General features: G+C 37.0%; 1 protein-coding gene across 16 annotated transcripts in view; it reads right to left on the bottom strand.

Moving 5' to 3' along the window:
- The window catches only part of ZFAND6 (zinc finger AN1-type containing 6), a 79,443-nt gene that overhangs the window by 54,086 nt on the left and 12,433 nt on the right, over positions 1-12,924 (bottom strand). For 2 of the 16 annotated variants that reach the window (NM_001242912.2, NM_001242913.2), the window contains exon 2: positions 9,066-9,144. The exons of 8 other annotated variants lie outside the window; for them this stretch is intronic. The gene's annotated coding sequence lies outside the window, so the exon portion shown is untranslated. Of the gene's footprint in view, positions 1-9,065; positions 9,145-10,977; positions 11,043-11,660; positions 11,747-12,924 lie in introns of those variants that run through there. 6 more of the 16 variants (XM_024449959.2, XM_047432696.1, NM_001242916.2 and 3 more) reach the window with 4 other exon arrangements.

Below are 12,924 nucleotides of genomic sequence, written 5' to 3'. Positions count from 1 at the left end.
TCAGCATCGTGTCTGCACTCAGAAAATTTCCAATCTTGGAGTATTTCAAATTTCGAATTTGGGATGATCGACCTACACTTCGTAAATCTCACTTAATCTCTTGCCTCTCTGAACTGATTTGCAGCAACTATGTGTGTGCTGTAATCATGCCTAACCCTGATCTAGGCTTAAACAGACTTCATAAGAAGCAGAGTGCTATAATACTGAGACAAGGCCTGGATTCAGATCTGAGCTGTTTCTTCTTAGCTGCACAATCTTGAACCCATGCCACTTTACTGCCTAAGAGGATATTTAAATCCTCTCAGGGTGATCAGACCACGCCCCAAATCAGTAATTCAAAGGTTTTCCATCACTAAGAGAATAGGTTTAGCTCATCTTGTCTATGAAGCCTCATTCTCCTGCCATTTTTCCTCCTGGGCCCTAAAGCTCTCAACTTCCATGCTTTTGAGAAGGAATTTCGCTCTGTTGCCCAGGCTGGAGTGCAATGGCATGATCTGAGCTCACCGCAACCTCCTCAGCCTCCTGAGTAGCTGGGATTACAGATGCTCACCACCATGCCCAGCTGATTTTTATATTTTTAGTAGATACACGGTTTCACCACGTTGGCCAGGCTAGTCTCAAACTCCTGACATTGGCTTCCTGAAGTGCTGGGATTACAGGCATGAGCCACTGTGCCCAGCCTAACTTCCATGCTTAATCATCTCCATGAACACGCTTTTCTCTAAAGTTACAAGGCTTACCTAACATCCCTTTCACTCACTCTGGTTAACTTTTATTTATTTTCTAAGTCTTAGCACAGCCACTTTACAGTCTTCTCTGACTCTGCTCCAATGATAATCTGGTCTCTTTTCTCCCTCATTATCATTTAATATAAATTCTCTGCATGTTTCCCCAACATATCATAAGTTCTTAGCATAGCACCCAGTAGTTGCTTAAGAAACCTGTGCAGAATTTATTATTATGGATAATACCACCACCAATTCACAGGGCTGGGAGGTTTAAAATAACGTATGTATAGGCCAGGTGCGGTGGCTCATGCTTGTAATCCCAGCACTTTGGGAGGCCGAAGCGGGCGGATCACGAGGTCAGGAGATTGAGACCATCCCAGCTAACACGGTGAAACCCCGTCTCTACTAAAAAATACAAAAATTAGCCAGGCGTGGTGGCAGGTGCCTGTAGTCCCAGCTACTCGGGAGGCTGAGGCAGGAGAATGGCGTGAACCCAGGAGGCGGAGCTTGCAGTGAGCCAAGATCGCGCCACTGCACTCCAGCCTGGGCGACAGAGTGAGACTCCATTTCAAAATAAATAAATAAATAAAATAACATATGTATATATGTATAGGATACATAGTAGGTGCTCAGTCCACCATCATTTTTTCTATCCCATATCCACCTCAGAGAAAACTTTATAAAAGAAAATTAAGGGAGGTGAGGGCAGTTCAATTGAATAATAAATTTCTAAGATGGAATTCTGATTTTTAGTTCATAGGAAATCAAAGAACCAGAAGATATAAACTCAGCAAAACAAGGAGGGAAGCATGGTCCAATCCTCATAATAAACTCCTTAAATATCTGGAACTCTTACCAGTTTCCATCCTTTGACACTCACTAAAATAAGAATGAATAATCCCTGCTATATCCATCTGTCAATCTTTCCTACCTTTCCCAGAAAGTCACTTGACAGTGATATTGAGATACCAAACCCAAAGGTTTAGGAACATTAGTAAAATTACTCACATTACCACAGAACTTCAAAAACAACAACTGGTAGTCTCCCTGCCTTGAATTCCTCTCCCTAAGTAAACCTTCCCTCTCTAAGTAAACCTGAATAGCAAGATCATGCTCTGGTATCAGCCTTCCCAATTTCAATCTAGGCTCTGCCACATAACCTTTGTCAATTTGTCCTATCTGTCTATAAACCTGTTTAACCTTTGTCAATTTTTCCTATCTCTCTATAAACTTAGCATTATCATCTGCGAAATAGGCACAACAATAATACCCATCTCATGATATTGTGAGAACTTAAAGTTAATGTGTCTGATAGTGTCCAATATGAGTTGCAATTAAATTAATATTCCAAACCCTGTTTTTACCACTTATTTGCATAGAAGCCTTCATAATTCACCACTGCTCACAGTCACACCATTCCCATATCCTATGTATACTCCATACCTCTTCCCCACCTGGGCTTACTGGAAAAATGAGAAATTAAATGGCACCTGCTAAACCAGCAAAATTTTGGTTGGCATATCCAGAATCTATTACTCCCTCCATTTTGCCATTCCAGGATTGCCTCTTTCCGGGTAAATAAAGCTTTTAGTGTACATCCAGTCTCAAACCTATCTAACAAATCTTCAAGGAATGTCTCAGATTTTACTTTTTCTAATTTTCTTATTATCTTGGCTTATCTTTCTTCCCACTTGAACTTCTACAGCAATCATCTATAACAAACACAAGTTTGCACTCAGTAATATATGATCCTGACATTAAACTAAATTAAGTCTGGCCCGAGGCTGCCTCCATCCATATTTTAGGTTTGGCCCAAAGTTTCTCTCTACATAGTGCACTATAAAGTTAACTTGATATGTAAGCAGACTGTAACCTACTCTTGTAATAAGTAGCCAAGTCTCAGCCAATCACAGTAGCTGAGTTTCAGCCAATCATAGGTGGCCAACTGTTCAAATTGTGTTCAGATGAGGCAAAGGCTGAGCTGTAACTAATCTAGCTGTTACTGTACCTCACTTCCCTTTGCTGTATGCATGTCACTTCCCTTTTCTTGACCATAAATGTTATCTGACAATATGTTATTTGACAATACGGTACTCTGCAGTCCTCCTGAACTGTTCTGGTTCTGGGAGCTGCTTGGTTCTTGAATCGCTTTTTGCTCAATTAAATTCCATTAAATTTGTCTAAAGTCTTTAACACTGACTTATCAGATAGGAAATACTCATATCCCCTACTTTTATCAAACAGTATGTGAGTTTCCTCCAGAAAAGGACCATTTTACAGTACTTTACAAGCTCATCTGACTGTGTAACTAGTCTGACTATCTGACTAGGCTGTATGCACACAACTCAATAAAAATTTGTTACTGAAACAATTATTTTAGGCAATCAATGTCACCTTTTCAGTGTAGGTTTTCATTTGAAAGTCTGCAAAGAATAAATTTTTTCTACAAAAAGTAAATGTATTTTTTAAATTCCTACAGCTACTGAGACTTAGTATTCATTCAGAGAAAAGATAACCTTACAGTAGTCCACCCTTATCAACTGATAAAGTTTGTGTATTTGTCCCCACTCAAATCTCATGGTGAACTGTAATCCCCAGTATCGGAGGTGGGGCCTGATGGGAGGTGACTGGATGATGGGGATGGAGGAGTTCTCATGAATAGCTTAACACCATCCCCTTGGTGCTGTCCTTGAGATAGTTTTCACAAGATCTGGCTGCTTAAAAGTGTGTGGTACCTCTCCGCACCCCACTCTCTTTAGCTCCTGGCTTTTGTCATGTGATGCACCAGCTCCCTCTTTGCTTCCGCAGTGATTGTAAGCTTCCTGAGGCATGATCACAAGCTGAGCAGATCTCTGGTGCCATGTCTCCTGCACAGCCTGAAGAACCATGAGCCAATTAAACCTCTTTTTATACTCAGTCTCACGTATTTCTGTATAGTAATGCAAGAATGACCTAACACATCCAAGATTTCATTGTCGGCTGTTTCAGTTACCTGAGATCAACCACAGCCTGAAGATACTAAGATATTTTGAGAGAAAGAGGGAGGGAGATGATATCACATAACTTTTATTACAGTATAATTATTCTATTATTGTTAATGTCTTACTATGTCTAATTTATAAAACTATGTCATAGGTATTTATGTATAGGACAAAACACAGCAAATATAGGTTTGGTACTATCCACAGTGGGTCTTCAAACATATCTCCCATGAATAAGGGGCAACTACTGTATATATAATTTTAAACAATTATCTACAAAATTTAAGAAAACTGGTTGTGTAGGCCGGGTGCAGTGGCTCATGCCTGTAACCCTAGCCCTTTGGGAGGCCGAAGTGGGTGGATCACCCGAGGTCAGGAATTCAAGACCAGCCTGGCCAACATGGTGAAACCCCGTAGCTACTAAAATACAAAAATTAGCTGGTCATGATGGTGGGTGCCTGTAATCCCAGCTACTCGGAGGCTGAGACGGGAGAACTGCTTGAACCCTGGAGATGGTGGTTGCAGTGACTGGAGATTGCACCACTGCACTCCAGCCTGGGTGGGTGAGCAAGACTCTATCTCAAAGAAAAAAAAAAGAAAGGGAAAAAAAACAGAAAAACGGTTGTGTATTCTGTTTCTCAAAGCTAAGGGCCAGGCGTGGTGGCTCATGCCTGTAATCCAGCATTTTGGGAGGCCGAGGCAGGTGGATCACAAGGTCAGGAGATCGAGACCATCCTGGCTACGGTGAAACCCCGACTCTACTAAAAATACAAAAAATTAGCTAGCTGGGCGTGGTGGCGGGCGCCTGTAGTCCCAGCTACTCGGGGAGGCTAAGGCAGGAGGATGGCATGAACCTGGGAGGCAGAGCTTGCAGTGAGCCAAGTTTGCGCCACTGCACTCCAGCCTGGGCGACACAGCGAGACTCCATTTCAAAAAAAAAAAAAAAAAAGCTAAGGAAAACATTCTTTTCAAATTATATATCACATAAATCTATTATAACATTCAAAATCTATTGTCATTATTTTACATTTTTATTATTTAATGTATACCAAAAGAACAGCAAAAGAAAGAACAGAGTAGGCCGGGTGCGGTGGCTCACGCCTGTAATCCCAGCACTTTGGGAGGCCGAGGTGGGCGGATCATGAGGTCAGGAGATCGAGACCATCCTGGCTAACACGGTGAAACCCCGTCTCTACTAAAAATCCAAAAAATTAGCCAAGCGTGGTGGCGGGTGCCTGTGGTCCCAGCTACTTGGGAGGCTGAGGCAGGAGAATGGCGTGAACCCAGGAGGCGGAGCTTGCAGTGAGCCGAGATCGCGCCACTGCACTCCAGCCTGGGCGACAGAGCGAGACTCCGTCTCCAAAAAAAAAGGAAAGAAAGAACAGAGTAAACAGATAATCTACAGAATAGGAGAAAATACTCACAAACTGCACCTCTGACAAAGGTCTAATATCCAGAATTCAACAAGCAAGAAACAAATAATCCCATTAAAAAACGAGCAAAAGAACACATACTTCTCAAAAGAAGACACACTCTGGGGACTGTTGTGGGGTGGCGGGAGGGGGGAGGGATAGCATTAGGAGATATACCTAATGCTAAATGACAAATTAATGGGTGCAGCACACCAGCATGGCACATGTATACATATGTAACTAACCCGCACACTGTGCACATGTACCCTAAAACTTAAAGTATAATAATAATAAAATAAAATAATTGAGCAAATGAAAAAAAAAAGAAGACATAAATACAGCCAACAAATACATGAAAAAATGCTCAACATTACCATCACTAATCATTAGAGAAATGCAAATCAAAATCAAAATATCATCTCAAGCCAGTCAGAATGGCTATTATTAAAAAGTCAAAAAAATGACAGATGTTGGTGAAGTTTCCCAGAAAATGGAATGCTTATACACTGTTGGTGTTAATGTCAATTAGTCCAGCCACTGTGGAAAACAATTTGGAGATTTCCCAAAGAACTTAAAACACAACTACCATTAGACCCAGCAATCCCATTACTGGGTATATACTCAAAAGAAAATAAATCATTTTACCAAAAAGACACATGCACTCGTTTATGTTCATCACAGCACTATTCACAAGAGCAAAGACATAGAATTAACCTAGGTGCCCATCAACAGTGGACTACATAAAGAAAATGTGGTACATATACATTATGGGATACTGTGCAGCCATAAAAAAGAACAAAATCATGTTCTTTGTAGCAACATGGATGGGGCTGGAGGCCATTATCCTAAGTGAATTAATGCAGGACAGAAAACCAAATACCACGTTGTCACTTATAAATGGGAACTAAGCACTGAGTACACAAGGACATAAAGATGAGAACAATAAACACTGGAGACAATTAGAGGAAAGGGCTGGGGAGAGGCGAGTGTTGAAAAACTATTAACACCTATCAGGTACTATGGTCACTGAGTGACGGGATTGTTTGTACATCAAACCACAGTGACATGCAATTTACCCATGTAACAAACCTACACATGTACCCCTGAACCTAAAATAAAAGTTGAAAAAATAAAATATAGCAAAAGACTATTATGGATAGTAAATAATGCCACATTAAAAGTTTTGAAAGCCGGGCGCGGTGGCTCACACCTGTAATCCCAGCACTTTGGGAGGCCGAGGCGGGTGGATCACAAGGGTCAGGAGTTCGAGACCAGCCTGGCCAATATGGTGAAACCCCATCTCTACTAAAAATACAAAAATTAGCCGGGCGTGGTGGCAGACACCTGTAGTCCCAGCTCCTTGGGAGGCTGAGACAGGAGAATCGCTTGAACCAGGGAGGTGGAGGTTGCAGTGAACTGAGATCACGCCACTGTGCTCCAGCCTGGGTGACAGAGCGAGACTCTGTCTCCAAAAAAAAAAAAAAAAAAAGAAAGAAAACTCACTCCTATTCTTACAATGGGTAATTCATGGATTTTTACTATGCTTATAATTACCTTTAATTCCCAACTATAGTTAATAATTTGATCCCTTCAAAGAAACAAACATTGGTAATATTTACCTGTATTTCAAAAGTTTCATCAATTTGACCTTTTTCCTTTACCACCAAGTTGCTTTCAAAGCTATGAATAAAAAGGCTACTTTTTCTTTTTTTGGTCCAATAGAGGTCCTTTTGCTTTAAAATATGTTAGAGGGGGAATGGCACAGAGGACAAAGAGAAAATATTTTAAATGAAAATGATTCCAAATCAACTATTTTTCTGTTCACGTCAATTTTATTTGTAAGTAATGTTGTCTGCATTATTTAACTTTTTTGATGATAGAATATTTGATGCAAAATAATCTATGTAGCCTCTCTACCCTATGTATAAGTTACTCAGTAAGTTATTTGACTTTTGTTCACAGGCAGGTGCTTTATACACCCGGATGCAGAATGAGCACAAGGTCCAAGCCAACAGTTATTTAAGGAGTTGTTAGCATTTCAAATAGCTTAAAGTGCTTTTGCACTTTGCCTAATCTTCCCACTACACAGCTTGGTCTCAAGCTTTTATTAAACGTGAGGAATTCAACAGCTATGAAACTCAAAACTATGTGCATAAGGAAAACTACCTTTACTTTGCCTGTGCCTCATTCTTTTATCTTCTTGTATCCTGGGGATGCTAAAATGTTTAATATCCTTTATCAAAGTGTTCCAAAAAACTGTCAGAAATACTTTTTTTTTTTAATGTTTGTTTCCCTTAAAGCATTTTTAGACAGGCAGCAAGTTTTCACTATGCCTTAGAAGAAGGAATTACAAATAGCTGGTGGTTAAAGAGTGAAGTGGAATGATGTGAGGGAAAAAAGGAATAGAGAAGTAAGCTCAGGAAAGCACACAGCTCAGTGTGTAAAGGAAAGGACTTCCAGTCTGACAAACCTCAGTTTTAAAGTATGCTAGTCACTTACCAGCCAAGGAGACCTTAGACAAATTAGCTAGCCTTTCTAAATTGACTTACTGGTTCGAAAAGACTAACAGTACTTAGCGTGGGGACCATCTGAGAGAATGTTTAGCACAGAATCAGCTGGTGTTATTCTTCACTCTAGCTAGTATTCACTAACGAATATGAAGCAGAGAAAAACAGATATGACCGCACAGTAAAGAATGTATTATACAGAGCCTAAAATGGAAATGAAGATCAATTAGGGGGGTGTTTAGTCATCTAAGAAATCATACCGTGTGGCCTTATGCTAACACGTGAAGGAAAAAAAAAAAGATTGATTCTAGAGACACTGAATTTAAAATTTATAGGCTAATTGTGGCTAACTGGTGATGAAGAAGAATCAGAATGACAATCAGATTCTGGCTTGGGTGGCAGTATCACCCATTTGCTGTGACTTTTGGTGAGCTGGATAAATATGGGTCTCAGGTACAAAAAAAGTTTTGGATTTTAGATTCAGACGTTGGAACCATTAATATGTATAGTATGCTAATTAAAGATATGGGACTGGAGATTATCAAAAGGGAAGTCTAGAGAAGAGTTAAGAACAAAATGCTACGAACTTCTATTACTTAATGGTTGTAAAGGAGAAACATTTGCAAAAGACACAGAGATCACTAATGAGGAAAGCACAGACAGTATCATGAAAATAATGAGAAGAGTTTCAAGCAGGAAAAGTAGTCAATGGCACTAAATGTTGCTGAGAAATCTAGTACTTACAAAAATCTATTGGTAGCAGATGACACAGGGTATTTATATTGCGAAGGGGAAAAAAGGTATAAACAGGGATAGATGGATCTGCTCTCTTCTACCAAAGCACTACTAACGACAAAACTGTTTCGAGTTCATTTTCTCCGATGGCATACAAACACAGAAAACCAAATTTAGTCAAACAAGTTCATAGACACATCAGTTCAAAAATTAGCATTAATAGGTTTAAACAAAAATGGCTCTAGGTTCTTTCAAGTTTTATCAACTTACTGCCCATTAAGTTTTTTCCTCATATTATTTGGAGGGAAAAAAATCACTATGTTCCTCTTGAATGGCATCTAACAACAGAGACTTTGAATACATTATTTTTGAAATAAAACGCAACCATCACTTTTCATATCTTGACCCAAATACCTAGGTCAATTTAAAAGTTTTCTTCTCCTTGTAGAAAACTACTTTCCACTCTCCCTAGGAAACCAAAAAGATACTCCCTAAATCTGTCAATGTAAGATCAGTAGTACTGCAGAATTACAGTTACAGAAACCACTAAAAAAAATCACTTCTTTACCTTGGGGTACCCAGCAAAATGTAATCAACAGCTAAACTTTCACTACAGTATTTACAATTACCTTTATCTCTATTTGGTAGCAATAACATTAAATTTTATTAAGACGACAATCAAATTACATGTTGTCAAATTACCAATATTTGTGATAGAAATATGGAAAATTTTTAATTTTAAATTTCTCTCTTCTATCCCAAATGTTCAACACCAAAGTATCTGAAAAAAAATCAAACAATAAAAGTAGACATTAACAAAAAAAACTTCCCTCTGAAACAAACACAATGACAAACATACCAGCATCAGCTCTGAAAGTCAGAGATACTAAATTATCAGTTAATTGAAATAAAAGTTGACACAAAGTAAGTTAAATTATTTAAATTGCAAAATGAGCTAGACTAACTCCATACCATACATGCTCAACTACTGGTTCCATCAATGAGTTATAGCCCAGCCTATGGCTTATCATTACTCCCCATTTGTAAGAAAAAATATGATTGTCTTAGAATTGTCTTTGATTTTAACACAACTTAAGTTTATTCTAGAACGTTACTCAACTAGTTTATAAGCCAGTTATGCCTATTTCATTTAACAGACAAGCTAGTAAAAGTATACATAATTTGTGGTCAATGCCAACAAAGCATGCTCTTAAAGACAAACAGAAACAACATATGTCTAGCACCACTATATGTGTGTAAAGTTAAGTTCTTACCTTTAACTGAAACCTATAAAATACTGGAAAGATGCTGATATACCATTTCAAAGCCTGTAATTATTCATAAAAGTTATCTGTTTCCAAAGTGTATTTTTAAAAACTCAAAATTAAGAAACGCACAAATAATGACAAAGGTTATTCATACATGTTTTTGAGACAGGTAAAGTTAACTGGCACTACTCCAGTCTCCTAATGTTAACTGGCACTACTCCAGTCTCCTCCTAAAAATGTTTCTGATATATTTTCTTGAAAGAAAATATTTCTTCTGGTATGTGCTTACCAGAAGAAAAAGAAAAGCCAGCCTGAATAACAAAGCCAGTGTAAAACATTAAGCCCCATACTTACTAATAGCAACACATACACTAAGTATATAAAATATCTAGCATAGATACAATTGCTCAGTTAAGTGGGTAAAAGTGTTTCCAATTTCCCTCAGCTGATTTTAATATCCAGAAAAATTGCTTTATATCCATCTACATCTTGGAAAGTGGTGTTGAAAATAGGCTTTTAGGCAAAAACTAATCAACAAGTCAGAGAGCTCCATAGGCACACTTTAACAGAACATTTAAGGGGCTACACATCAGAAAAACTTTGAAGCATATTCTGCTGGTGTCGATATAAACTGGTATAACTTTTTAGAAAAACAATTTGGCCAGTGAAGTGTTCATTATCCTTTGATCTAGGTAAAGCCACTCCAGGATTTTTCCAAAAGAAATCTTTTTTAAAAAGGAAAATATTTTACAGCTACACACAGGTGTGTTCAACGCAATACTATTAAAAATGACGAAAAATTAGAACCTAAAAGTAGACAATTCAAAAAACTAGGTTAATTCAGGTCACATCAATTTAAGAGAATTACATAGTTACTGAAATGAAAACAATTTCAACAGATAGTTAAGTGAAAACATAAAACTGCACAGATTCATAATTATTGGAAAACTGCAAGAATATAAGACAGAGAAGGGAACAGGAAAAAAATGAGATGACCAAACAATGATCTGCTGGTGGGTAGATAGGTAACTTTTCTTGATTTCATTATTATTACACTATTGTTTAAACAACAGATATAGCAGAAAAGCATTAATTTAAAAACCTTTGCATGATCCGGAACAAGTAGCATAGCAAATACAATGGCTGAAAATGCTTAGCTGGCTTTTGGTCTGATTATTGCAATGATTATTGCAATTTATACCTTAATTTCTATGAGAACAAAGAGCAACAATATAAAGAAAACAGTCTCTAAAAAATATTCTTGTACTGAAATACACTACAATTACGTCATAAATAAGAAATGTAAATAGAATCAGATACTTTAAAAAAAAGTTGTAGTAGCCTACCTATAGCTTTTAAAAATATAAATCCTTTCATTTCCTGTTTCGAAATGTTAATTACTTATCTCCACCTTTGAAAGAAATGAAGAGTTTGAATGAAGTAAGAAGAAAGCAGTTTCACTTTGTTCATCAATGGCCTTTTTAATTATGAGCATATTAAAAATTATAAGCATATTAAAAATGTCAACATATTGTTAAATTAAAATATACTGAAATTAAAAGGGGTGCTGTGCTGGGGTTAAAAAAATTAAACAGTTGGCATTTCAATTTACTAAAAAAGACGTATTTAAGCCTATCACATTTATCTTTCAGCAACTTAACATTTTAAGTTTAAGGAAAATGACATATCAAATGAACCTCCTCAAGATGTCATTTATAAAAACTGACAACTGACTGTTCAAACAACCAATTCAAAAAAAAATCCTGTTATTGGAGATGATTTTGAGTCTAAGATGTTTTAATGACACTCATATTCTGAACTAAAAATAATGATAGGAGAAAGTCAAGTTTGATTCTCTGAACACCTATTTCCTGTCCAAAGAGCCCTTTTGTTCTGCTTCCCTGCTTAATTTTAGTGTTCAGTTTGCATCAGAAAATAAAAACAGTGACAAAACCTAGCACACACAGAATCATAAAGGAGCAAAATTATAAAATAAAGGATCATAAAAAGATTAGAACAAAAATCCTACCAACAAAACCTCCACAATTTTCTGTTTGCTTCACCTCAGATTAACTTCACTTGAAGCTGTACTCCAAAGCAACCAAACCTGAATACCAAGCTCCACCTTCTCCAATTCTAGTGGCTGAAGAGTAAAATCTCCTCCCTGTTAGTGAAACTGATAATTGTGATTGGATACGGCTAATATCCATTATTTTAAAGAACTTTTCCTTGCTAGCAGGTTAGGTTAGACACACTAAAACCTCCTGGATAAGCTGGTTTCTTAAAGAAACAGTACATAAGGTTTCAGTTTTCCCATCATATACTGTTTGCTTACCCTTGTCTAGGTGAAAAATAAACTAAGTAACAAAAATGAAAATCTCACAGAAGCAGCTGTGACCAATTGTTTAAAATACAATGCTTTTAATCTAAATCATTTATTTTTATGGAGCAATGAAGGTGAAGTTATGCTTTAAAGACAGATTATTTTTAATAGAGTTCACATTTTACCTGAAAATTGTAAAACGGCAACAGAAAATCCATTACAATATGTTGCTAAGAGGAACAAACCAATGTTTTTTTCTAAGACTTAAAGAGAAAACTATAACTTAAGTGAAAATATACAGCACTAAAATACTGAATGCAAAAGATTCACTTCTAAGCTATCAAACTCACTGACATTTATGTTCTCAGTATCACAACAGAGTAGAAATTTCAGTGACATCAAAGGTTGATATTTCTACTTAAAACTGAAGAAAATACTGGGCAGAAATACTATTACATTTAACAGATCTGACATGTGAGTATTTTGCCAAGGTTAATGCTTAACCATTGGCAAACAGATATCTAAAAGCAAAAGGCACATGTTCTAATGACATGTTCAGGTATAAAATTTAGAAAAGTTTAAGTCTTTTTCATCTTTTTTTTTTTTTTAATGTGTGGAAACTACTTTGCACTCCATAACTTCAAAGTGGCATGGGCACCCTAAAGTAAAAGGTATACTCCTCTTAAACTTCTCACTAAGCTACGTTAAATAATATTTTTACTACAGAGATCATAAAGAGACACTACACAGGAACTCTGATTTTTAAGCAAAAAAGACCTACTGTCACTTTATACATTACTAAGTTTGCTATTTTTACGTGATAAGTTTATATATTTTAATTAGAACTGCTTATGTTTTAGCAGCTTGGCCCATCAAACATTACTCTAACATTAATCATTATCTGACTGATTAAATGGCATTTAATGTCTAATTTACGGTGTAAGTATAGTTTTTACCTCTACCAAAAATC

The sequence above is a fragment of the Homo sapiens genome, chromosome 15, assembly GCF_000001405.40.
Source record: "Homo sapiens chromosome 15, GRCh38.p14 Primary Assembly".
NCBI lineage: Eukaryota > Metazoa > Chordata > Mammalia > Primates > Hominidae > Homo > Homo sapiens.
This window is presented reverse-complemented; position numbering and strand designations above follow the sequence as displayed.